Source organism: Homo sapiens, chromosome 14 (assembly GCF_000001405.40).
Source record: "Homo sapiens chromosome 14, GRCh38.p14 Primary Assembly".
NCBI classification, from domain to species: Eukaryota; Metazoa; Chordata; class Mammalia; order Primates; family Hominidae; genus Homo; species Homo sapiens.
In genome coordinates this window covers 31,058,342-31,086,261 of record NC_000014.9, presented here as the reverse complement: position 1 = coordinate 31,086,261, position 27,920 = coordinate 31,058,342, and the positions used below count along the sequence as shown (strand labels likewise).

Below are 27,920 nucleotides of genomic sequence, written 5' to 3'. Positions count from 1 at the left end.
TGCTTCCCTGAAGAATTTGTTTGTTCTTCTGGCTGGTATTCCTATAGCCTCAGTTTGAACAAGTATTTTTGCAATTTCTCATTAAATCAGGCTGACATTATCTCCCACTTGGAGAAACCCTATTCTGGTTTCCGGATCTCTAAAAGTATTTCAGATTTTAGGAAGCTGATGGAACTAGAGGTAGATGCCCACAGTGGGCCTGATCGAGGCCTGTCTGCAAACCATGGTGGTGCTGATCACTGTTGCCTGCACACCATCATTCTCCAGGAAGCACCATGGCAGATGCTGGCGGAGTCACAGAGAGTGCACACAGCATTGATGCCCTTCCTATGTCCCACCCTCAACTGCAATAGAAGGGACATGAATCAGGGTTTTTTCACACAACCCACCAGAGCTTTAGGGCTCTAGAATCAACTGCTCAGTCTTTGAGATTTTGAGTTTATAAAATACAAACAGGAATGTTGTAAAGATGTTTTTATTTTTATTTTTAAAGACAAGGTCTCGCTCTGTTGCCAGATTGGAGTGCAGTAGCACAATCATGGCTCACTGCAGCCTCAGTCCCCCAGGCTCAAGTGATCCTCCCACCTCAGCCTCCCTAGTAGTTGGGACTATAGGCACACACCACCAATGCCTGGCTTTTTAAATTTTTTTGTAGAGACTGGGTCTCCCTATGTTGCCCAGGCTGGTCTCAAACTCCTGGCCTCAAGCAATCCTCCTGCTTCAGCCCTCCAAAGTGCTGGGATTACTGGCGTGAGCCACTGTGCCCGGTCTAAAGATGTCTTTAAATCAAGAAAACATTCCGGATTCTAGCCTATATTTGTGGGGCCTGGATTCTAGCCTATATTTGTGCCTCACAAGAATACAAAGTAGAGACTCCAGCCTGCTCTTGCTTCTCTCCCCAGGCACGTAGGTGGGACATCCCAGCTACCACCCAGCCTTCTTATCATTCCTGCCCCTAGTCTTGGGGTGAAGGTGGAGGAGAGGCTTGCAGAGGCCATGGTGGCAGGTTCTGGGATATCTAGGGACCTTATAAATTCTAGGGGCCCAGGAAGTCAGAGGATGGTCAAGCAGTAGATAGTGAGGGCTGGTGGGCATCTGCCCCATGATGGGGAAAGGGTGCTGGCGAAGCAGACATAGAATGGGCCTTCTAGAGCACAGGGCCCGAGGAGCCCCTGGCTGTCCAGGCCTGAAGGCAGTACTGCTGCATTCCAGTCTAGCCCAAATAAACTAAGTCCTTAGGCCTCTTTAAAGGCACCAAATACTGAAAAGGCCGTGGAGGTTTTCTGTACCTTCACGCGTAGAGCAGGTACGCACTGATTTGAAGAGTAGTTGGTGTGTCTCCCATACTGTGCTGTTCATTGGTGCCCTCCCCTGGCTATTCAGTAGATGGGGGTGGTGGAGGCAGCTCCTTTGAATGATGAACTGTCTGGAGAAAAGCAAGTCTGCTGGGGCTCCAGGGCTGAGCATATTTTGGGAAGTTCATCAATTGGTTCCTAAAAAAAACACCTTAATTCATAAAATTTGAAGTCTTAAATAAATCTACCAAGGTATGTGATGGGGCAAAGTCTCCCTGTAGAAACAGGCTTCACAAATCTTCAGGCCTCACTTCAGCCGGGCGGGTGGAGTGGAACTGAAGAGTGCACAGGAGTGTATTCATAGCACGTGAATGATTTAGGTCACTGACGTGCTTGGTCCCAAGGGGGCAGCCCGCCCCACCTGACACCACTGCACCAGAGGTTTCCACTAAATGGAAGGCTTTTCAACAAGCCAGAGTTTCTGTCCTGATTTCTTATGCTTAGGTCCTTTCTTTTTAAAATCCAATCTGTCTTGCTCTGTGATGTCAGTCTTACTAGAAGTAAAACAAGTCCATACTAGGGAGAAATGTAAACGGTGTACTGTATTTTTCCAAGTCTAACTGTACAGGTTCTCAGAAACTTCCCTAGCCTTAAAAAATCAGGGGGAAAAGCCTCTGGAGAAAAAGACAGGGGGCTTCCTGGGAATTGATCAGGTTTTGACTTCCTTCTCCTGTACCAAAACCAAGCTTTAACTCACGTCTGTCCCATGTGGGCTGACAAGGAGGGCTTTCTTAAGCCTGAGCAAACACAAACAAGATTATGTATTGTTAGTGGTGGAAGGACCAAATCCAGGTTGCCATTATAGCAGTTTTCCTGTTTTCAACCTTTTAAGGCCTAAGGGAGCTTTCCTGGCAGAGTGGATATAAGCAGTGCTGGCTGCTCCAGTAGGTGCCTGGCTACATGCTACCACACAGTGATGCAGGATGTCTACGCCCCTCCACAGATGGAGCAGGAACTGCAGCTGAGCTTCGACAAGATCCCCTCATCTTTCTGCTGTGTAACTAGTCTGCAGAGGTCCTCCTTGAACATGTGATGGTTTAAAAGGACTATGTATGAAGCAGAGGAGAGTCAGGGGTTTTTAATCCGATATTTTTCAGATGGCTAAGGGTAGTAACCTTTTAAGAATGTCAACACTTTGGGAGGCCAAGGCAGGAGGCTTGCTTGAGCCCAGAAGTTTGAGACCAGCCTGTGCAACAGAGTGAGACCCCATCTCCTCAAAAAATAAATTTAAAAAATTAGCCAGGCATGGTGTTGTGTACCTGTAGTCCCAGCTACTTGGGAGGCTGAGGTAGGAGGATCACTTGAGCCCAGGAGATCCAGGGTGTAGTGAGCCATGATCGCACCTCTGCACTCCAGCCTGGGTGACAGAGCAAGACCTTGTCTCAAAAAAAAAAAAAAAAAAAAAAAAAAGAGTGTCAACAGAAAAGAGGTGCCACATGCCCTTCTCTGCTGCCTGCTCTACTTTTAGACCACTGGAAGTACAAGTGAGATCAAACCTGGAGCAAAGACATAATATTCCAGGTCTAGAAAGACTTAGTTCTCCTCTCTAAATGATGTAAAATTCCTAATTTGCCAGATGGATATGCCTAAGTAATTCCTAAGGACAGTAAATACATATAACTTGGTTAGAAGGGAAGAGAGGGTGAAAATGAAACCAGGTAAAATGAAGGGAAAATTGTGTATCTTGACGTAAAATTTTAATTCAAACAAGAATGCTGGAGCTCATCACACAGACCTATACTACACACCAGAAGGCTACAAAGACAAGTATACCCATCTTTATTTCTACTAAACATCTAGTAAATATACGACACATCAACACAACTCATCCAACTATAATACATATCCCTTCACCTCTGATTCACGTTAACTCTCTCAATATCTAGTCTTGTAAGACTCTCTTCCTGTTTTAGATGTAAGGTAACTCAGCTCAGTTACCTAAAGTCATGGCAACATCAACTATTAAGGCTGATCAGGTGTTAAAGCTCTTCTAGTCTTTTTTTTTTTTTTTGAGACGGAGTCTCGCTCTGTCGCCCAGGCTGGAGTGCAGTGGCGCAATCTCGGCTCACTGCAAGCTCCGCCTCCCGGGTTCACGCCATTCTCCTGCCTCAGCCTCCCAAGTAGCTGGGACTACAGGCGCCCGCCACCGCGCCCGGCTAATTTTTTGTATTTTTAGTAGAGACGGGGTTTCACCTTGTTAGCCAGGATGGTCTCGATCTCCTGACCTCATGATCCACCCGCCTCGGCCTCCCAAAGTGCTGGGATTACAGGCGTGAGCCACCGCGCCCGGCCAAAGCTCTTCTAGTCTTAATTCTCTCATTTTAAGATGAGCGGGTTATGTGTCTTGTCCAATACACACAGCTAGTCAGTGGCAAGACCAAAAGTGGAAATTGAGTTCTCTACTCCCAGTGAAGTGTCTTTTAGCCCTTGCTATCTTCCTGATGACTGTTTAAATCAAAAAGCTTTTTGTCTACTTGTACCTTGTTCAAGTAGGAAGAGATTTATTTTGAATTGCTTTGAATGGCTTAATTCAGATAGAATATTACATGTTGAATAAAAATATACTGTAATATACAGACCATGCTGAGTGAAAATACACCATAATATACAACGTGGTCTGTATATCACGGTATATTTTTATTCAGCATGCTAAAACCTACAAAGGGATCTATAGTCCCTTCTAGGTCACAGGGATCATAGATTTGGGTCACTCACCACTAGAGGGCACTCAGATTTTCCCAGTTACTTTACAGAGGCTTCCAAATTAAGGGCACAAAATGAATTTGTCAACACAGTGACATTTCCTATCAGTAATAACAAGTAAATAGCAATTTCCCCAGAAATACTAAGTGGATGCAAACATACTGGTTCTGGGCATTTATATAAGTGTATATATAAATTTATAAATTAGGCCGGACGTGGTGGCTCACGCCTGTAATCCCAGCACTTTGGGAGGCTGAGGCAGGCGGATCATCTGAGGTGAGGAGTTCAAAACCAACCTGGCTAACATGGCGAAACCCCATCTCTACAAAATGTATATATATATATCATATATATACACATCAGACACTACGCCCAGAACCAGTAGTTTTGCATCCACTTAATATTTCTGGCAAAATGTGGAAAAATGCCTGTGTGTTTGTGCACGTACACACACATACACACACACACATAAATACATGTATGTATATATACACATAAACATTGTTATAATTCATATATAGTTGTTATATTCTTATATAAATATTTATATATAAACATTTGTTATAATTAATTTACTATTTTATATTCAAACTTGATGTGTTCTTAAAGGACTCAAGTGGTAGGTAGATTTTTGAAGTAAAAAATAAACTTAAAAATTAACTTGCCTCCCAAACACTCGCACAAAGCCTGGAGGGCTCCTGCCAAAATCTGTGGGCCTGCAGTATTCTAAGCAAATCGTGCTTGTTTTGAGGGTCCTTGGGTATTGTGATTTAAAAGAGACAGAAGAAAAGGCAAAAAGGAGAACTTTCTCTGCTATCAAGGAATGAATACATTTGATAGCAATGAATACAAGCCAGGCAATTTCTTTAACCTTCCAGTTTATCAACACTGAAGGCCTTATTCTGGTCATGTAGGGGATTTCTAGAGATTTAGACCTGGCACCCTGGAAATCCAGTTTCTGGAGGAGGACTAAACACTTTTTTGGCTGTGTTATTTAAATTTTGAAAATGCCTATTCCATATGCTTAAAGGAAATTAAATTAATAAATAGTAGCTATTAACTACTATGATAGCGCTATCCTGCCTGGAAAAAAAAAATCTTAAGAATCATCTTGCCAGGCGCAGTGGTTCACGCCTGTAATCCCAGCACTTTGGGAGGCCGAGGTGGGTGGATCACCTGAGGCCAGGAGTTCAAGACCAGCCTGGCCAACATGGTGAAACCCCGTGTCTACTAAAAATACAAACATTAGCTGGGCGTGGTGGTGGGCGCCCGTAATGCCTCAGGAGGCTGAGGCAGGAGAATACTTGAACCCAAAAGGCAGAGGTTGCAGTGAGGTGGAAATTGCAGTGAGCAGAGATTACACCATTGCACTCCAGCCTGGGCAAGAAGAGCGAAACTCCATCTTAAAAAGAAAAAAAAAGAATCGCCTTGTTGAAGCAGGGTGACGAAGTTGGGGAGGAGTTCTGCAGAACACACACACCTCTGGCTGTCTTGTCATAGTTGTTGGTGATGAACACTCTGGACTCTGCTGAATAGTTTTCCTGCCTTGTGGTACTTACCTGATAAGGACCAGAGTGCATTTGCCAAGTACTGTGGAAAACAGTATTGAAAAAGGATACATCTAATTCACTCTGGAAGACAGAAAAAGAGTGCAAGGGTTAGAAAAAAGACACTGGGGACCACTGCTCTTAGCAGAGTCAGACTGAAGAGGCTTCTGCGTCCATAGCAGCGGCCTCTCCTACCTGCTTCTGGGCTTGGTGGCCACAGCAGTCTGACTCTGCCAAGGCCCTAAGTTTGGGACTATAATTTTTTTAAATATAGGCTGTAGTTCAAAGGAATTTTACAGGCCAGCACGATTCATCTTTAGAAAGCAGAGGGAAAAAGAAACTAACTCAGCCTTTACAGATGTAGGTAATTTGATATGTGTATCAGAGATCTTAACAATGTGCCACACCCTTTGAATCCACTGACGTTACTTCTAGTAGTTTATCCTAAGGAAAAAATTAGACAATGGCACAATGATATATGACAGGATATTCAGGGTAATGGTGTTTGTAATAGCAAATTATGGATAATAACCTAAATATCTATCAAGGAGGGGAACAAATTAAGTAAACCGTAGCATATCCACAAATGATGATGTAGACATATAAGTACTCACATATTGTTAAAAAAAGTTACAAAATGTATACATAGTATTATCCTATGTATGTATGTATAAAGGTCAAAGTATATGTGGTTATACAGCTACAGACAGACATAGAAAGTCTAAAAGGAAATGTACCTAACAGCAGTTATCAGTAACTGATGGGCTTACTGATGATCTTCTTCTCACTTAAAAAAATCTATTTTATTTATTTATTTCAAGAAAGTATTTATTTATTTGGAGTCAGTCTGTCGCCCAGGCTGGAGTGCAGTGGCATGATCTTGGTTCATTACAACCTCCACTTCCTGGGTTCAAGCGATCCTCCCACCTCTGCCTCCCAAGTAGCTGGGACTAGAGGTGTGAGCCACCACACCTGGCTAATTTTTGTATTTTTTGTAGAGACGGGGGTTTTGCCATGTTGCCCAGACTGGTCTTGAACTCCTGAGCTCAAGCAATCCACCTGCCTCAGCCTCCCTAAGTGCTGGGATTACAGGTGTGAGTCATCATACCTGGCCAAAAAATACATTACTTTTTAAAGAGCAGTTTTAGGTTCACAGCAATATTGAGGGGAAGGTACAGCCTTCCCTCCGAATGTGCAGCCTCCGAATGTGCAGCCGTGTCCCTCCGAATGTGCAGCCTCCTCCCATGATCAGCATTCCCCACCTACATCATTCTCACCCAAATTCCACAGTTTACATTCGGGTTCACTCTACTGTTGTACATTCCATGGGTTTAGACAAATGCATAACTACATGTATTCGCTTTCCTCTTTCTCTTTGCTTATATGTTTTAAAATTTTGTAAATAAAATAGATATTTATGCAGTGAAAAAAGTATGGAGGAAGAAAAAAGCAAAGAGAATTAAGTTCAAATATGAAAGGACTTAAGGGTTGTCAAATGCAGCACTGAAAATCCCCTGATACCACTTCTTCAACAGCAACAACCCTCACCTCTGGCAAAGCTGCCTTCTTTGAAGCTAACTGGGTTGGTTTTTTGTTTTAAAAATGTGATGCTGAGATGCTTCTCTCAGCCCCAGACAGCATGAGACTGATCTCCAAATTTAAGATTTGGAAATTCTTGAAGATTAAAAATAGCCACAGAAAGAATGTTTAAAATTCACAAACCTAAAAATAAATCTTACATGACAAGGCCGTCTCTGTGAGGGGGACAGATCCTATTTTCTTTCCCATAGTGCTCTTTTCCCTCTTCCTCTTCTTCTTTTTGCTATGGTTTGATCCTAAGCCAAGTCATCCCTTAGTACCTACCGTCCAAGTCCTGCATAATCACCTGGCTGAAATTAAATTCTAATCTTTACTTTCGTGGTTTATGTGGTCACTGACTCTCCCTAAAATTATACCTATAATTCAGCAATATGCTATTTATTCTCAGTTACTGAATATAATAATAATAATTTTTAAAACCTTAGCAATGATAGTACTTGTACCCACTTTTTATTCTCCTAGGTTTAGAACATTATTATTTTGGGAAATTATATTCTTCTTGGTGGGTGTCACCTTGAAATGGCTAATCATGGTCAGCTCTGATCATAGACCCTGACTTGCAACTAGTCTGTCTAAACAAGAGAGTGGTCATCACAAGGTAAGCAGAAGCTAGAGCTATACTGTCCAATACAGTAAACACCAACCTCATGTGGAGATTTAAATTAAGTAAAATTAAAACTTTATTTCCTCAGTTATACTAACTGCATTTCAAGTGCTCAAGAGCCACATCTGGCTAATGCCTACTGTATTGGATGGCACAGGTACAGAACATTCCTATCTCTGCAGAAAGTTTTACTGAACAGTGCTGGTCTATGGTGCTCTTGCCAAGCAATCAACACAGAGATAGATTTTAAAGCCAGTCTCCATGTCCTCTGTCCCCAAGGCCAGTCTCTGGAATGACCACCTCTTGGTATCTTTCAGCTTTGGAACGCACCAACCCCTTCCTGGCTAGATGCATTTCCACATCACAGACCACAAGGCACGTTCCCAACACCAACTCTTGAATCAAGAAAAGGCTGATAAAGGCCGGGCACGGTGGCTCACGCCTGTAATCCCAGCACTTTAGGAGGCCAAGGCAGGTGGATCAAGAGGTCAGGAAATCGAGACCATCCTGGCCAATATGGTGAAACCCTAACTCTACTAAAAATACAACAATTAGCTGGGTGTGGTGGCACGTGCCTGTCATCCCAGCTACTCGGGAGGTTGAGGTGGGAGAATTGCTTGAACAAGGGAGTCAGAGGTTGCAGTGAGCCGAGATCGCGCCACTGCACTCCAGCCTGGCGACAGAGCGAGACTCCATCTCAAAAAAAAAAAAAAAGAAAAAAGAAAAAAAACAAAAATGGCTGACAGCAAGCCTCATGCACTAAGGCAATGATTACCAAAATTAAGCATGTACCAGAAACCAGAATCACCTGGAATCACCTGGAAGTCATCTTAAAACAGATTTCTGGGCCTTGACCTACAGCTTCTGATGCAATGGTCTGGGATGGGGCCCAGAATTTGTCTGTCTAACAAGTTCTCAACCTATGCTAATGGTCCAGGAATCAGACTTTGAGAACTGCTGCACTAAGACAATGAAGACAGGCTAGCTGACTGTCCCATGAAGAAGGAGTTTGCCAAACCTCACTTCTGGCATTAGGAGGTGGGCTGAAGACCTAACTTCCTAATTGGACTTTTGCCCTTTCCGGGTTTTAGTGCACACAATATTACTAATTATGGAGCACATTCTGCTCACTGCCTCAGGAAGAAGCTTGGAAAAATTCCTTGTTTTTATTTAAATGCGAAATGAAAAAAAACAACTTTAAAAAATAAGCTTGTGCTGGCTGGGTGTGGTGGCTCACGCCTGTAATCCCAGCACTTTGGGAGGCTGAGGCGGGCGGATCACCTGAGGTTGGGAGTTCGAGACGAGCCTGACCAACATGGAAAAAGTAGAAACCCTGTCTCTACTAATAATACAAAAATTAGCCAGGCGTGGTGGCGCATGCCTGTAATCCCAGCTACTTGGGGGGCTGAGGCATGAGAATCGCTTGAACCCGGGACGGAGGTTGCAGTGAGCCGAGATCACGCCATTGCACTCCAACCTGGGCAACAAGAGCAAAACTCCGTCTCAAAAAAAATAAAAATAAAAAGATAAGCTTGTGCCGCTGCTACTTCTCAAGAATGTCTAACTAAAGCTCAGGAAGGCCTATGGTACCAAAGTAAAACATCTTTACTGATTCTTTTTTAAAAGACTGGTGAGTTTCGAACTTGATACAAAGCTACAGAAATCAAAAGAGTGTGCTACTGATGTAAGGCTAGACACAGAGATCAATGGAACAAAAGTGAGAGGCCAGAAATAAACACTTACATTTATGGCCAATTGATTTACTGATAAGGGGGCCAAGACAATTCATTGGGGGAAAAGAACAGTCTTTTGAACAAATGATGTTGGAACAATTGAACATCTACAAAGGAATGGGAGAAAATATTTTCAAATCATATATCTGATAAGGGACTTGTATTCAGAATATATAAAGAACTCCTGCAACTCAACAATAAGATAACAAATAATGCAATGTAAAAATGGGCAAAGGATTTGAGCAGACATTTCTCCCAAGAAGATAGACAAATGGCTAATAAACATATGAAAAGATGCTCAACATCCTTATCCATTAGTGAAACACAAATGACAACTACAGTTCATTGGCCTCTATACCACTTTACATCTACTGGGATGGCTATCATATAAAAGACAGACAATAACAAGTTTTGGTGAGGATGTGGAGAAATTGAAACCCTCATGCACTCCTGATGGGAATTTGAATCACACCAACACTTTGGAAAACAGTTTGGCAGTTCATCAAAATGTTAAACATGGAGTTACCACATTCTGCTCCTAGGTAGTCCAAGAGAACTGAAAGCATGGTTCTATGCAAAAACGCATCCATGAATGTTCATATGAGCATTATTTACAGTAGCCAAAAACTGGAAATAACTCAAATGTCCATCAACTGATGAATGGATAAAAAAATTTGGTATATCCGGCCAGGCGTGACGGCTCACGCCTGTAATCCCAGCACTTTGGGAGGCCGAGGCAGGCGGATCACCTGAGGTCAGGAGTTTGAGACCAGCCTCAACATGGAGAAACCCCGTCTCTACTAAAAATACAAAATTAGCTGGGCATGGTGGTGCATGCCTGTAATCCCAGCTACTCGAGAGGCTGAGGCAGGAGAATTGCTTGAACCTGGGAGGTGGAGGTTGTGGTGAGCTGAGAGCACGCCATTGCACTCCAGCCTGGGCAACAACAGCGACACTCCGTCTCAAAAAAAAAAAAAAATTGGTATATCCATCCATACAATGGAATATCATCTGGCAAGAAAAAGGAAAGAAGTACTGATATATGCTATAACATGGATGGATCTTGAAAACACTACACTCAATGAAAGAAGCCAGTCACACAAAAATCACATGTTGTACAATTCTATTTATATGAAATATCTAGAACAGACAAATCTATAGACACAGAAAGTAGATTAGGTATATATCCAAAAGAAAGGAAATCAATACATTAAGAGATGTCTGCAGTCCAATGTTTATTGTAGCACTGTCCACAATAGCCAAAATATGGAATCAACCAAAGCACCCACCAATAGATGAATGGATAAAGAAAATACGGTATATATACACAATGGAATACTATTCAGCCATAAAAAAGAATAAAACCCTATCATTTGCAGAAACATGTATGGAACTGAAGGTCATTATGTTCAGTGAAATAAGCCAGGCACCGAAAGACAAATATCACATGTTCTCATTCATGTGGGAAGTAAAAAAGTAGATATCATGAAGATAGACAGTAAATTGGTGGTTACCAAAAGCTGGGAGAGGAAGAGGAAAAGAGGAAATGAAGAGAGGTAGATTAATGGGTGCAAATATGCAATTAGATAGAAGAAATAAGACCTAGTGTTTGATAAATCAGTAGGGTGACTATGGTTAATAATAATCTATTGTATATTTCAAAATAGCTAAGAGAATAATTCAAATGTTCCTAGCATAAAGAAGACATAAATATTTAAGGTGATAGAGATCCTAATTATCCTGATTTGGTTTTTATACATTATATGAATGTATCAAATTATCACAAGTATTCTGAAAATATCTACATCTCTTATGTATCAATATAAAAAATAAAAATAAAAAACTTACCAAGAAAAAAAGATAGATCACTGGTTACCTGGTGTGGGTGGAGGGGATAATGAGGGGGAAATGCTAATGGGTACGTTTCTTTGTCAGGTGATGAAATTTCCTAACATCCTCCCACCTCATCCTCCTGAGTATCTGTCACTAGAGATGCTTGCCTCCACACCCAGCTTGATTATACACTTACTTTATTTATTTATTTATTTGAGACGGAGTCTTGCTCTGTCGCCCAGGCTGGAGTGCAGTGGCGTGATCTCAGCTCACTGCAAGCTCTGCCTCCCAGGTTCACGCCATTCAGCCTCCTGAGTAGCTGGTACTACAGGCGCCCGCCACCATGCCTGGCTAATTTTTTGTATGGTTAGTAGAAACAGGTTTCACCGTGATAGCCAGGATGGAGACAGGGTTTCACCGTGTTAGCCAGGGTGGTCTCGATCTCCTGACCTCATGATCGGCCTGCCTCGGCCTCTCAAAGTGCTGAGATTACAGGCGTCAGCCACCGCGCCCAGCTTACTTTATTTATTTATTTATTTATTTATTTATTTATTTATTTATTTGAGACGGAGTCTCGCCCTGTCACTAAGGCTGGAGTGCAGTGGTGGGATGTTGGCTCACTGCAACCTCTGCCTCCTGGGTTCAAGCTATTCTCTGCCTCAGCCTTCCGAGGAGCTGGGATTACAGGCAGGTGCCACCATGCCCAACTAATTTTTTGTATTTTTAGTAGAGACAGGGTTTCACCATTTTGGCCAGCCTGGTCTTCAACTCCTGACCTCATGATCTACCCACCTCGGCCTCCCAAAGTGCTGGGATTACAGGCGTCAGCCACACCCGGCCAATTACACACTTTAAATGGGTGAACTGTATTATACATAAAATATATTTCAATATAGCTATTAAAATGGCTTTAAAAAGATTTTCGGAAAGGAGCTCACATATTCCCTAAGGAGAATTGACTTTTGACCCTCAAAACAAGGGTTTGGATGGGAATGATTCTTAAAGTGAAAAGCATCCTGGTGTCTTAGGAAATAAGGCAGAGGGGGCCAGGCACGGTGGCTCACGCCTGTAATCCCAGCACTTTGGGAGGCCGAGGCGGGCGGGTGGATCACCTGAGGTGGGGAGTTTGAGACCTGCCTGACCAACATGGAGAAACCCCATCTCTGCTAAAAATACAAAATTAGCTGGGCGTGGTGGCACGGCTTGCAGTGAGCTGAGATCGCGTCACTGCACTCCAGCCTGGGCAACAAGAGCGAAACTCTGTCTCAAAAAATAAAAAAATAAATAAATAATAAAAAATAAAAAAAGAAAGCAGAGGGAAGAAGAAAAGAGGGGGCAAGTCAGATAGCAAAAGCTCATAATTGGGAGAAAACAAATAAGAGGGTTTTTTTTTTTTCTGAGACGGAGTCTCGCTCTGTTGCCCAGGCTGGAGTGCAGTGGCGGGATCTCGGCTCACTGCAAGCTCCGCCTCCCGGGTTCACGCCATTCTCCTGCCTCAGCCTCCGGAGTAGCTGGGACTACAGGCGCCCACCACCACGCCCAGCTAATTTTTTGTATTTTTAGTAGAGACGGGGTTTCACCGTATTAGCCAGGATGGTCTCCATCTCCTGACCTTGTGATCTGCCCACCTTAGCCTCCCAAAGTGCTGGGATTACAGGCGTGAGCCATCGCGCCCTGCTATAAGAGGTTTTTTTTTTTTTTTCCAGTTCTTTATAAAGATCTCAGGCATGTATAGGCTTGTAACACTTTGGATAAACCAGAAGGAAAGATAAAGAAAATTTGGCATCACTTAAGTTTTAACTTTTACTTATTAAAACTCTGTATTAACACATGTTCTTGATATAGATCCAAAGAGACTCAATTTCTGGGAAACTGGGTTGAGGAAGTAAACCATTTTTTAGCCATTAGACTTACCACTCGGCTGAAATACTCATCTAAAACTTCCACAAAGTTATGAATGAATTCATAAATAGCCATCTCGTTCTACAATAAAAGAAGAAAGGTACAATCAATTTTAGTGTCGCTTCCCATGTAAACCAGACATAGAACTTCCCAGTCAGTGTCCAGGTTTTAGAGCATGTGGCTTAGTGAACCGATAATGTGAGGAAAGTAGCCTCCCACTGACAAATATTCAGAACAGTTCTATCACTCACTTGTTTAAAAGATGTTTATCAATGGGGGAAATGTAGATAAACCTTAACTTCTAGGATTTTTTTTGGCCAGATGTGATGGTTCATATCCGTAATCCTAGCACTTTGGGAGGCCAAGGTGAGAGGATGGCTTGGGGCCAGGAGTTCAGGACCAGCCTAGGCAATATAGTGAGACTCTGTCTCCATAAAAAACTTAAAAACTAGCCAGGTGTGGTGGTGCATGCCTGTAGTCTCAGCTACTTGCGAGACTGAGGCAGGAGGATGGCTTGACCCCAGGAGTTCCAGGCTGCAGTGAGCTATGATGGCACCACTGTACTCCCGCCTGGGAAACAGAGCGAGGTCCTATCTTAAAAAACAAAAAGGCCATGCGTGATGGCTCACACCTGTAATCCCCACCACTTTGGGAGGCCGAGGTGGGAGGATCACTTGAGCCCAGGAGTTGAAGACCAGCCTCACCAACATAATGAGACCTCTTCTCTACAAAAAATAAAAAAATAGGCTTGGCGTAATGGCTCATGTCTGTAATCCCAGCACTTTGGGAGGCTGAGATGCGTAGATCACTTGAGGTCAGGAGCTTGAGACCAGCCTGGCCAACATAGTGAAACCTCGTCTCTACTAAAAATACAAAAATTAGCTGGGCATGGTGGCACATGCTTGTAATCCCAGCTACGTGGGAGGCTGAGGCAGGAGAATTGCTTGAACCTAGGAGGATCACTTGAACCTGGGAGGCTGAGATTGAAGTGAGCCAAGATTGTGCCACTGTACTCCAACCTGAGTGACATAGCGAGACTCCATCCCCACCCCCCCAAAAAAAATCAAATAAATAAATAAATAAATAAATAAATAAAAGTAAAAATATCCAGGTATCTTGGTGTGCGCCTGTAGTCTTAGGTACTCGGGATTGTGAGGCTGAGGTGGAAGGATCACTTCAGGCCAGGAGGTCAAGGCTGCAGTGAGACGTGAAGGTGCCACTGCATTCTAGCCTGGGTGATGGAGAGAGACCATGTCTTAAAAAATTTAGGCCGGGTGCGGTGGCTCACGCCTGTAATCCCAGCACTTTGGGAGGCTGAGGGAGGTGGATCATGAGGTCAGGAGATCGAGACCATCCTGGCCAAAAGGTGAAACCCTGTCTCTACTAAGAATACAAAAATTAGCTGGGCGTGATGGTGGGTGCCTGTAGTCCTAGCTACTCAGGAGGCTGAGGCAGGAGAATCGCTTGAACCCAGGAGGCAGGGGTTGCAGTGAGCCGAGATCATGCCATTGCACTCCAGCCTGGTGACAGGGTGAGATTCCATCTCCAAAAGAATCTTTTTTTCTTTTTTTTGAAGTCCATGATGAATCTAGCCAGATTAAAATCTTAGTGTCTAGCACTTAGAGTTCTTAGATCTATTTCCTGACTTTACCACAAATTGGCTTAAGCAATTTTTCAGGCTCTTCATGCCATCATTTTTCTATCTGTGAAGATGGGAAAACCACTTCAAAGTTTGGTTCATGGATAAAAAACAACAAATCAATATTTCAGTTAGATCTAAAACATCCTTTCAGGGATTCCATGGCCATAAGTGCTATTGATTTGGGAGTGGCATTTGTGAAGGGGTGAACTAAATAAATTTGGGGTGATGTAACTGCCATACAATCATCTTTAGAGTTTTCTCTGGCTTTTGATATATCAGCCCTTTTTTTTTTGAGATGGAGTCTCACTCTGTCGCCCAGGCTGGAGTCCAGTGGCGCAATCTCGGCTCACTGCAAGCTCTGCCTCCTGGGTTCACACCATTCTCCTGCCTCAGCCTCCCGAGTAGCTGGGACTACAGGCGCCCGCCACCACGCCCAGCTAATTTTTTGTATTTTTAGTAGAGACGGGGTTTCACTGTATTAGCCAGGATGGTCTCGATCTCCTGACCTCATGATCTGCCCACCTCTGCCTCCCAAAGTGCTGGGATTTCAGGCATGGGCCACCGCGCCCGGCCTCAGCCCATGTTTAATGCCAAAATCAGTCGGCCTCTATACTTATCTGACCTGCTTCATTGTTCAAGAGAACAAGGGCAGGGCACTGGTATTGCTTACAACAGAAAAAGGCATTCTGTGGTTTGGGGCTTCTCTACTTTGCAAGCTCCTGATCTAATCCAAGAAACATCCTAGATATTTCTCTTCCACACAGCTTTCCTCATCCTTGCTAGAAACCAAGATCCTAGCCAGGCACAGTGGCTTGTGCCTGTATTCCCAGCTACTTGGGAGGCTAAGCCAGGAAGATCGCTTGAAGTCAGGAGTTCTAGGCCAACCTGGGCAATACAGTGAGATCCCATCTCTAAAAGAAAATAAAAGCAAAAAAATAAGTTGGGCTTGGGAGTGTGAGCCTGCAGTCCCAGCTAGTCAGGTGGCTGAGATGGGAAGACTGCTTGAACCCAGGAATTCAAGGCTGCAGTGAGCTATGACTGTGCCATTGCACTCTAGCCTGTCTCTTAAAAAAATAAAAATAAAAATAAATTGGGAGTCTGAGGCAGGCGGATCATGAGGTCAGGAGATCGAGACCATCTTGGCCTCGATGGTGAAACCCCATCTCTACTAAATACAAAAAATTAGCCGGGTGTGGTGGCACATGCCTGTAATCCCAGCTACTTGGGAGGCTGAGGCAGGGGAATCGCTTCAACCTGGGAGGTGGAGGTTGCAGTGAGCTGAGATCATGCCACGGCACTCCAGACTGGTGACAGGGCAAAATTCTGTCTAAAAAAAATCAAGAGAGTCATAATTCTTAGGGAGGCAAGTAGAAAGAAATTCTTGCATTTTCCAAGGGCTCTTCTATTATCTTACCTCAGTGTCATTAACTCCAACCACAATGAAGAGAGCTGCATACTGCCGATATATCAGCTTAAAATCCTTATATTCAATGAAAGAGCACTAGACAAAACACAATGAGATATTAATTCCTGTGGCTGAGAGAGAGTTCTTTAAAATGACATGCGTAAGTTCTAGGTTCTGATTTACCCGACAAACATTCCTAGAAATATAGAATATTAAGATGTTACACAACCATTGGTGACCTTCTCACAATATTCAGGGGACCACTTGGAAGCATCTCTAGTGGAAACTGGAGAAGTATTGGAAAAAAGTCTGAGGGTTCACATGGGTTCCCACTTACACTCCTTCTTGTTCCTTTGCTTTGCTCTGCGTGGAAGTCAGCAGGCAAAGGTAATGCATAATCAGCATTTTAAAGTGCCTCTGAAGCGAAAATAAGCAAACACGATAAAGATTTTCTTCTTCTCACCTCCCCAAGATTTTTTTGGAAGCAATTAGATATTCTCAGTTTTGTACTATTTAATAGTCATTGAGGAGCCAAATACATGGTACAAACAAACAAAAATTGGTTGCTTTTTCCTAGACTCATGAAAAGAATCCATGTAGATTATTTTATAAATTATTTAAAGATGCCTTCTTTGTGGCAGATGCTAGACAAAATCTCGCATTGTAAACATTGCTTCATATGAATTAATAACTAGCCTGCCACCACTGACACATGGAAAAACTCCCTTCTCATTCATCCCTTTCCTATCACCTTTGTACAAAGAGTTATGGGAAGGCGCTGAGTGGATGGGAGGTGGAGAGTGGGCAGAAGCACAAGGTTACTCTTCTTCTGGATTTTAGGGTGTGCTGGATGTGTTGCTCTTAGGTGCCCGGATGCACCTGGGAATGAAGCTGCAAATTTTGACCATGGAAATTCCTCTATGGGAAAGCCATCTGGAGGAATTTAGGCTTTTATTTAAAATTAGGATAAAGGTAATGAGTACAGAAGCATTCTGCAGCGTTTGGCTCACTGTAGAGCCAGTGGGATCTCTGCTCAGCTGGATCTTTCAAGGAAACACAACCTTTTTGAAAGAACTGAGGAACATTTTTCAAAGCTTCTCAGGAGTTTCTGACATTAAAAAAAAAAGTATCAAAGCACCTCTATGGATAAAAACTAAGCTGCTATTATGCTACTTTGGTGCCTGATTATGCCAAAAGCCCAGTGGGCTCCTTTTAAAATCTAAAATAATTCAGAATGCATCAAAAGTATCTAACAGTATATTCATTCCAAAGCTTTCATTTCAAAGGGTAACCTATCAGTGAAAATGATGTTTGAAATTGAGTGCCTGCATTCTGCAGAAAGATTCAAACAGGAATGCTTCTAAGAGTATTTACTTTTACTTAAAGTATGTGGCTATTAACACAGCCCTTTAACAGTTTCTGTTTCCGTCTGACAACATGAAACAGTGTGTGCCATGGCAGGCCAAAGTAGTAATTCAAAGAGGAACTCTGTGATGTCCCAACTGAAAAATCAGTTGAGATGCCAAGGGAGACACATTTGTACCATGTTATTTCTGAGCACTGATGTGGTTTAATATTTGATGATTTAGCACTGGTGCTCACAGGCAGCCCATTATGCAGTGAAATGGAGAACTGACAAAATTAATGCACAAGTTAAACAAGTTTTCTGATTTTCCCTCAGTTGTTGAGTAATTTCCAACAGATTTGGCAAGTTTAGGACCGGATTAAGTAATTCTTTAAATAAAATTCTTCATAAAAATTTTGTTCAAGGGGCCGGGCGTGGTGGCTCATGCCTGTAATCCCAGCACTTTAGGAGGCCAAGGCGGGTGGCTCACCTGAGGTCAGGATTTCAAGACCAGCCTGACCAACATGGGGAAACCCTGTCTCTACTAAAAATACAAAATTAGCCGGGTGTTGTGGCACATGCCTGTAATCCCAGCTACCTGGGAGGCTGAGGCAGGAGAATCGCTTGAACCTGGGAGGTGGATGTTGTGGTAAGCCAAGATCGTGCCGTTGCACTCCAGCCTGGGCAAGAGCAAAACTCTGTCTCAAAAAAAAAAAATATTGTGTTCAAGGTATGAGCTAGGGAAAAAATTCTTTGCAAAATGGACTCAGTTTTTGGCCTGGCACGGTGGCTCATGCCTGTAATTCCAGCACTTTAGGAGGCCGAGGCAGGCAGATCACTTGAGGTCAGGAGTTCGAGACCAGCCTGACCAACATGGTGAAACCCCATCTCTACTAAAAATACAAAAATAAGCTGGGTGTGGTGGCACGAGCCTGTAATCCCAGCTACTCAGGAGGCTGAGGCGGGAGAATCGCTTGAACCCGGGAAGTGGAGGTTGGTTACAGTGAGCCAAGATGGCATCACTGCACTCCAGCCTGGGTGACAAAGCAAGACTCCATCTCAAAAAAAAAAAAAAAATTGTTCTCACTCATAGGTGGGAATTGAACAATGAGAACACTTGGACACAGGGTGGGGGACATCACAAACCGGGGCCTGTGGTAGGGTGGGGGGAGGGGGAAGGGATAGCATTAGGAGATATACCTAATGTAAATGACGAGTTAACGGGTACAGCACACCAACATGGCACATGTATACATATGTAACAAACCTGCATGTTGTCCACATGTACCCTAGAACTTAAAAGTATAATAAAAAAAAACTATTAAATTAAAAAAAAAAGGACGCAGTTTTAAAAATTCCTATTTAACCTCCTTTTTTTTTTTTTTGAGACAGAGTTTTGCTCTTGTCGCTCAGGCTGGAGAGCAATGGAGCAATCTTGGCTCACTGCAACCTTCACCTCCCATGTTCAAACAATCCTGCCTCGGCCTCCCCAGTAGCTGGGACTACAGTTGTGCACAATTACGCCCAGCTAATTTTTCACCATGCTGGCCAGGCTGGTCTTGAACTTCTGACCTCTAGTGATCCACCCGCTTCAGCCTCCCAAAGTGCTGGGATTACAGGCGTGCGCCATTGCACCCAGCCTTAACCTCCATTTTGGAAGATGGATAAATTTGTTGTTTCACATGAATTCTTAATTTCCGTTTTCCCCACCTAGATAATCAAATTTGTTTTGTTTTTAAATCACTGGTTTCAGTATTATATTGGTGGTATATTTACAAAAATAATAAGCAGAATAAAACCACCCGATTTGAGAATAATATTATTATCCTCTGGCACAAAATGGGTCTTCAGTATTCACCTCTACACCAATCATCTGATCTTCATTTTTTGGCTTATAGAAAGCTACCTGATACAGGCACTCATGAGAGTTTCAAGGGCTGAATTCATAGGAATGAAAAAAGAAGAGGTGTGTCTATTAGCAGAAGGAAATTTTACTGTCGTTTCCAAGGTGCATTGAGACAAATATGCTGACTTAAATAAGAAGCCAAGATTCTTCCAGGTTTTCCTTGTTTTTGTTTTCTTAAAGGGATGTAAAGAGAGCTATGCTTCTTTCAGTTTTTCATTTCACATCACTTATTTTCTTTAGTAGCTGTTGAAGGAATATAGCTCAAAGAAAATGATGGCCCCTGAGACTCACTAATAACAAATCTGCCAAGGCTGAGTTGAATGCAGAGATAAAAGAGAGAACCAGAGACTTACTTGTTCATTGGATCGAGAGAGACAGCTCTTTATGACTTCTGTTTCCAGAAGTGTACGCTTATTAATATCCACATGTTCATAGTACTTAGAAAGTCGAGTCTGCCCTTGTTTATTCACCATGAGGAAAAATTTTATCATTTTTCTTTCCTGGCCAGTATTTTTCCAAATACAGTTCAAAAGTTATGACAAGGGATGGCTGTAACTGGAACCTTGAAGACAAAAACAAACAAAACCAGAAAGGCAAGATCAAATTTCTCAAATAATTATATTAAATGTTTTTATAGATAAACAGTAAATAAAGTAGTAGTAAATATCATCTGATAATATCAGTCTTTATTCCTATGAACTAATTGAGGTTTTAATAAATAAAAACCAGGCCGGGTGTGGTGGCTCATGCCTGTAATTCCAGCACTTTGGGAGGCCGAGGCAGGTGGATCACAAGGTCAGGAGATCGAGACCATCCTGGATAACATGGTGAAACCCTGTCTCTACTAAAAATACAAAAAATTAGCTGGGCGTGGTGGCGGGGGCCTGTAGTTCCAACTACTTGAAAGGCTGAGGCAGGGGAATGGTGTGAACCCCGGAGGCGGAGCTTGCAGTGAGCCGAGATTGCGCCACTGCACTCCAGCCTGGGCAACAGAGCAAAACCCTGTCTCAAAAAAATACATAAATAAATAAAATAAAATAAAAAAATAAAAACCAATGATAAATTTTCATCAGTTATTCTCCAAAATAATTCTGAGCAACTGCAGTACTTCTGTTTCTATTCATTCAATTTACTCATTCATTTTGCTGGGTAACAACGATGTGTCAAGCACCAGAAGAATGTGAAGATGAAATAGTAAGGACTTCTGATCTTCTGATTTTTACATCTAGCAAAGGTGCTAGGTAGGTAAACAACGGCAGTACAAGGTGATGAGTTATAACTGGGACAGGTCCGCTTCCATAGGTGTACAGAAGGGAGGGACAAGGAACATCACAGGAGAGTGAAGAACTGCTTCCCGGAGAAGGGGCACTGATGTGAGGTCGTGAAGAATGAGCTACAGGGGAAGACTGAGGCAGAGAAAACAGGTATGAAAGCTCTGGAAAGTTCACTGGGGCTGCAGTTCAGGGCATGGGAAGAATAGTTGCAGGAAATTAAGCTACTCACATATGATATAATTGGCTTTAGAAGTCATGCTAAGGAATTTGGGCTTTATTTTATGGGCAATGGAGACAAGATCTATAGTAAAGCTTTTCTTTCCTTAGTGGTGGAAATAATAGTAGTGATATCAATTTATCAAATTCCTCCAGGCCCTATAACAGGCTCTGTAAGGTGCTGTGCTGAGCAATTCTCACAATTGTTTGAGGTAGGTACTTCTGTTATCCTTACTTTATTTTTGAGATAGGGCCTCGCTCTGTCACCCAGGCTGGAGTGCAGTGGTGCAATCTCAGCTTACTGCAGCTTCTGCCTCTGGACTCAAGTGATCTCCCCACCTCAGCCTCCTGAATAGCTAGGATTATAGGCATGCACCATCACGTCCAGCTAATTTTTTAACTTTTTGTAGAGATGAGGTTTCACTATATTGCCAGCCGTTCTTGAACACTTAGGCTCAAGTGATCCTCCTGCTTTGGCCTCCCAAAGTGTTGGGATTACGGGCGTGAGCCACCTTATCAAGTCTGTTATCCTTACTTTAAGGTCAAGCAGGTTAAAGTTTAGAAATAAAGACACTTGGTCAGGCGCGGTGGCTCATGCCTGTAATCCCAGCATTTTGGGAGGCCAACACAGACGGATCATTTGAGGTCAGGAGTTCAAGACCAGCCTGGCCAATATGGTGAATCCTTGGCTCTAGTAAAAATACAAAAATTAACTAGGCATGGTGGTGCACACCTGTAATCCCAGCTACTCAGAAGGCTGAGGCAGGAGAATTGCTTGAATCCGGGAGGCGGAGGTTGCAGTGAGCTGAAATGGTGCCACTGTACTCCAGCTAAGGGAGGAGAATCTCTTGAGCCCGGGAGGTGGAGGTGATAGTGAGCTGAGATTGTGCCACTGCACTCCAGCCTGGGTGACAGAGCAAGACTCTTAAAAAAAAAGAAAAAGAAAAGAAGATACCCAAAGTCACTGCATGACTTTGTGTCAGAGGTGGGCTGCGGTTCAAAGGCCAAGCACATGCATGGATCCATGACACCCCTAACTCATCCTCCTCATTCAGGGGTTCATGCTTGTGCTGTTATGTCTAACTCAGTTGTATTGAATCTCATATTTGTTTCTCTTACACTCAACATAGGTTTTGGAAAAATCAATGCAAGTGAGCATAATATTCATCAATGGCCAGTCCTTCTTTCATCATGACCACCAGAGCTGGCTGGTCTGGCTCAGCTGACAATATTGTATTCACGTTTTGTGATATCTGTGAGAACCAGTGCAAAAAACTAAGATGAGTAATAGTTCTTAAATGAACTTTAACATTTGAAATTTTAGATTTATAGTAAAGTTGCAAAGATGGCCATTGTTAGCATCTCACATTACCATGGTACATTTGCCAAAACTAAGAAACCAATATTAGTACATTATTATTAACTCCAGACTTTATTTAGAGTTCATCGATTCTTCCACTAATGTCCTCTTTTTGTTCCTGAATCCCATCCAGGATACTATAGTGCATTTAATTGTCATGTTGCTTTAGTCTGTTCTGGTCTGGGACAGTTTCTCAGTCTTCCTCGTTTTTCATGACTTTAACAGTCCTGAGGATACTGGCCCAGGCTGGAGTACAGTGGTACAATCATGGCTCACTATAGCCTTGAACTCCTAGGCTCAAGTGATCCTCTAGCCTCAGTTTCTCAAGTAGCTGGGAGTAGCTGGGACTACAGATACATGTCACTATGCCCAGCTAATTTTTACTTTTATTTATTTTTATTTTTGAGACAGAGTCTCACTCTGTCACCCAGGCTGGAGTGCAATGGTGCAGTCGATCTCAGTTCACTGCAACCTCTGCCTCCTGGGTTCAAGCGATTCTCCAGCCTCGACCTCCTGAGTAGCTAAGATTACAGGTGCCTGCCACCATGCCTTGCTGATTTTTGTATTTTTAGCAGAGATGGGTTTCACCATGTTGTCCAGGCTGGTCTCGAACTCCTGACCTCAAGTGATCTGCCCGCCTCAGCCTCTCAAAGTGCTGGGATTACAGGCATGAGTCACTGCGCTCGGCCTTTATTTTTATTTTTGTAGAGATGGGGGTCTCACTATTTTGCTCAGGCTGGTCTTGAACTCCTGGCCTCAAGGGGTCCTCCTGCCTTAGCCTTCCAAGTGCTGGGATTATAGGCATGAGCCACTGCCTCCAGCCAATATTTGCTTATAACATAAATTCCTAGTGATTTTTTTTTTTTTTGGAAACGGAGTCTCGTGCTCTGTCCCCCAGGCTGGAATGCAGTGGCGTAATCTCGGCTCACTGCAAGCTCCGCCTCCCGGGTTCATGCCATTCTCCTACCTCAGCCTCCCGAGTAGCTGGGACTACGGGTGCCCACCACCACACCCAGATAATTTTTTGTATTTTCAGTAGAGACAGGGTTTCACCGTGTTAGCCAGGATGGTCTTGATCTCCTGACCTCGTGATCCGCCTACCTTGGCCTCCCACAGTGCTGGGATTACAGGCATGAGCCACCGCGCCTGGCCAATTCCTAGTGAACTATTACTGTGTGCTATCAGAGAATCCATTTGATTTCATTAACTTTAGCATCGCCATCTGTTAATGCAAGTATATTAAACTAGAACACAGACCCCTCTGAGAATACAAAGAAAGCTAATGAATCTTTTACAGAAAAATGTGCAAGGAGGTATGTACTTAAATGCTGCAAAAGAACCTCAGGACATCCACAGACTTTCCTGACACCTATCCTGGGCTGTAGGTTGAGAACCCTGAGGAGGGTGATTCCTAAGGTCCTTTAAAAATAAATAGACCTGGCCGGGTGCAGTGGCTCATGCCTGTAATCCCAGTGCTTTGGGAGGCCGAGGAGGGCGGACTGCCTGAGGTCAGGAGTTTAAGAACAGCCTGGTCAACATGGTGAAACCCTATCTCTACTAAAAATACAAAAATTAGCTGGACATGGTGGTGGGCGCCTGTAATCCCAGCTACTTGGGAGCCTGAGGCAGGAGAATCACTTGAACCTGGGAGGTGGAGTTTGCAGTGAGCCAAGATTGTGCCATTGTACTCCAGCCTGGGTGACAAGAGCTAAACTCTGTCTCAGTAAATAAATAAATAAATAAACCTCCAGGATTAAAAAAATCTTCCCATTCACTTTATCACTATTTGCTATATACAAAACATTAAATTTGTGTCTAGAATAAATGAGAAATGATGTAGAATAAATGTGGCATATAGATCAATCTGAAATCTTTGTTAAAAATGCGATTTTACAGCCAGGTGTGGTGGCTCATGCCTGTAATCCCAGCACCGAATTTGGGAGGCCGAGGCGGGCGGATCATGAGGTCAGGAGATTGAGACCATCCTAACCAACATGGTGAAACCCTGTCTCTACTAAAAATACAAAATTAGCTGGGTGTGGTGGCATGCACCTGTAGTCCCAGCTACTCAGGAGGCTGAGACAGGAGAATCACTTGAACCCGGGAGGCAGAGATTGCAGTGAGCTGACATCGCACCACTGCACTCCAGCCTGGTGACAGAGCGAGACTCCATCTCAAAAAAAAAAAAAATTGATTTTAATGTATACTTGCAACTGATTCACAAATATTAGGTGTCACTTTTAGCAGGGACCAGTTTCCCAATCTGCTGCTTAGGAGACTGAAAGCGGGGGAGACTATTACAGGGCTAGGTCATCCCAGGTAAGCATTTGCAGCTAGCGATCTTAGCAACAGTTCCTTAGATGTCTGTTAAGAGTCAGTTTGCTAAATGCTCGGCTGTCAGAATACCAGTCAGAGGCTGATTTACAGGGCTTGATCTACTTCACAGCCTCTTTGAGCACAAAACATTAATTATCTGTTTGATGAGGCATCCATGCTTGTTGAAGGGTAGAGTTGACTGCCCAGGCAAGCGGTGGCTCACGCCGGTAATCCCAGCACTTTGGGAGGCTGAGGTGGGCAGATCACCTGAGGTCAGGGGTTTGAGACCAGCCTGGCCAACATGGTAAAACCCCACTCTCTACTAAAAAATACCAAAATTAGGCCAGACACAGTAGCTCATGCCTGTAATCCCAGCACTTTGGGAGGCTGAGGCAAGTGGATCATTTGAGGTCAGGAGTTCCAGACCTCATGGTGAAACTCGGTCTCTACTAAAATACAAAAAAATTATCTGGGTGTGGTGGCATGCACCTGTAGTCCCAGCTACTCAGGAGGCTGAGGCAGGAGGATTGTTTGAACCCGGGAGGCGGAGGTTGAAGTGCACCGAGATCGTGCCACTGCACTGCAGCCTGGGTGACAGAGCAAGACTCTGTCTCAAAAAGAAAAAAAAAAAGTGGAGTCAAGACTCTCCTTTATGATTCTCCATATTTCACTAGATGCCTGAATGTCCTTTATTCATGTGTCATCCCATGCATCTAGCAAAATAAGCAGATTGCATGGAAGAACAGGACCTTTGGTGAATGAGTGGTTCTTGGACTAATCAGAATCCCAGCAAATACAGAGGCTGGGGAACACCACAATAGAGGGTGGGTCCCACTATGCACTGAGCTAAGCAGCTAAGTCAAGCTGAAACCAGCAAGTATTTTTTTCTTTGGGGATTTTGCCTGCTTGAGGAGACAGGAGAAGGCATTGCTTAAAAGCTCAGACTTGAGTAAGACAGACCTGGCTCAAGTCTTGGCTTTGCCACGTACCTGCCATGTGACGCTTAAGTTGCTTGGGTTTTTTGAACCCCAGGGGGATGGCTACCTCTGAGGTGTGAGAGTGAGATAGGTAACACAAACAGCACTTAGCAAAGGCGCTGGTCTACAGTAAATATTCACTTTACAACTGAGCTGTTTTCATTACAGTCAACCCTTGGTATGCAGGGTATTGTTTCCGGGACTGCCCTGAGTATAACCAAATCCGTGCATACTCAAGTCCCACAGTAGGCCCCGTGGAACCTACCTACACAAAAATCAGCCCCATATAACTGGGGTTTTGCATGCCACAAACACTGTATTTTCCATCTGTGTTTGGTGGGAAAAAAAGGTGCATATAAATGGATCCGTGCAGTTCAAGCCTGTGTTGTTCAAGAGTCAACTGTATTATTTCCTTGCTGCAACTAGAAACAACATTATGATATAATACTTGGACTAAGTTTTATATATATAAAAATATATATACATAAATATATAAATATATATACATATATACATAAATATATATACATATATACATAAATACATATAAATATATATACATATATACATAAATACATATATATACATAAATAAATAAATATATATATATATATTTTTTTGTCCTCCCAGCTCATTTCTTGTTTCCTAAGCCCTATCAGACAGGTGGTTATCTTACAGCAATTCTACACACTAAGCTGTAAAGAGCCAGGCCCAGTGTGGCCAAGCCTGGGGTTGTTGCCTTCATTTATCTAGACCAGCTCAGCTGGGGATATAACAGCTGTGCCATGGGGGAGGCCTGTGGCCATTCACTCCCTTTTCCAGGAAGATAAGCTCATGGCTGTGGGTGGGATTGCAACATACTCTGTGGTGTTTAATCATTTGGTATTAACTGCTGCTTTTATTTGCCTCACAAATTATTGTCAGTAAATTACGGCAGGTTACCAGGAAGCTAAGATTACCATCCTTTCTTTTACTCCATTTCAGCAAAGTTATTTAAAAACCATCTTTATGATAGTTAGAAATTATAATTCTATACCTTGGATTTCAACTGCCAGGTAAAAGGAAAAAAATGTCTCAAAGGTACTCATGGCCAAACCTTTGCCTTTAAATGTCCTGCTTGCATTAAGTGGTAAAATGAGATGTAAAAAGATCTCACTGAGGTGTTACAACAAGGGATCAAATTGGTTTCTACCTTACAAGCACAGCATTCCTTCCCACTGACTTCAAGAACAAGGATGACAAATAAGGACATGTTGAATTGATATTCATTAGGATGTTAAGTTTTGAAAAGAGTAAATGAAGGCTTCTAAAGACTTGCATATATCTTTCTTTTCTTGCATGCTCTTAAACATTAGACAATTTTAACTGTAGCATGATGCAGTGGTAAAAAACTAGAGAAACACAACTGTAAACTATTTTTACTATAGAATATACAATGCCAAAATAAACAATGTGGAGACTCAAGAGACAAGTACACATCTGAGAACTGAAGATGAATGCTGTAAGCACCTATCATGGTTATTAATCATCAAGGAGGAGGGAGATGAAATAATTATGAAACTGAGGTAGGACAGTAAGAAGGGAATATGCTTAGACAAGTGTTGGGAGTGGTCAGGGAGCAGGTATGAACTTCCTGTTTTAAACTATTTGCATTTAACGACACACAAGGGGCCAGGTGTGGTGGCTCACACCTATAATTGTAGCACTTTGAGAGGCCATGGTGGGAGGATAGCTTGAGCCCAGAAGTTGGGGACCAGCCTGGGAAATACAGTGAGACGCCATGTCTACTAAAAAAAAAGGAAAAAAAAAAAAAGCCAGGCATCGCGGTGTGTACCTATAGTCCCAGCTACTTAGGAAGCTGAGGTGGGAGGACTGCTTGTGCCCAGGAATTGGAGGCAGTGGTGAGCTATGATCACAACACTGCACTCCTACTCTGGCCTGGGCAACAGAGCAAGATCCTATCTCTAAACACACACACACACACACACACACACACACACACACACACACACACACATACACACACAGAGATGGGGAAGATGTTTTGATGACCAGGAAGGAAGTCAGTAGATGCTACAGGCAAAAGCTTGTGTGAATGTGTGTATATACATCAAGGAAGAAGAAAGAAGGCAACTTCACTGGGGAAAGCATTACACAAATGGTGCTAGGATGCCCTAGCAAGGGAATCTAGAAAACCCCGAGA

The 27,920-nt window shown here is 43.1% G+C and overlaps 1 protein-coding gene across 9 annotated transcripts in view, besides 1 other annotated feature; it reads right to left on the bottom strand.

Moving 5' to 3' along the window:
• The window catches only part of AP4S1 (adaptor related protein complex 4 subunit sigma 1), a 71,345-nt gene that overhangs the window by 10,189 nt on the left and 33,236 nt on the right, over nucleotides 1–27,920 (bottom strand). For 4 of the 9 annotated variants that reach the window (XM_011536371.4, NM_007077.5, XM_005267293.6 and 1 more), the window contains 5 exons: nucleotides 19,928–20,136; nucleotides 16,333–16,419; nucleotides 13,289–13,357; nucleotides 5,618–5,689; nucleotides 460–1,493 (listed from right to left, as the gene is read on the bottom strand). In XM_011536371.4, coding sequence (XP_011534673.1) covers nucleotides 1,380–1,493; nucleotides 5,618–5,689; nucleotides 13,289–13,357; nucleotides 16,333–16,419; nucleotides 19,928–20,065 — 480 coding nt within the window. In that variant the 5' untranslated portion in view covers nucleotides 20,066–20,136 and the 3' untranslated portion in view covers nucleotides 460–1,379. Of the gene's footprint in view, nucleotides 1–459; nucleotides 1,494–2,614; nucleotides 2,737–5,617; nucleotides 5,690–13,288; nucleotides 13,358–16,332; nucleotides 16,420–19,927; nucleotides 20,137–27,920 lie in introns of those variants that run through there. The other 5 variants (NM_001254729.2, NM_001128126.3, NM_001254728.2 and 2 more) reach the window with 3 other exon arrangements.
• Nucleotides 4,005–4,084: a silencer, noted in NCBI's record as "silent region_5652". NCBI's record gives its function as "represses an Ori minimal core promoter by ATAC-STARR-seq in GM12878 lymphoblastoid cells {active_cell/tissue: GM12878}" and the evidence as "EXISTENCE:reporter gene assay evidence [ECO:0000049][PMID:35858748]".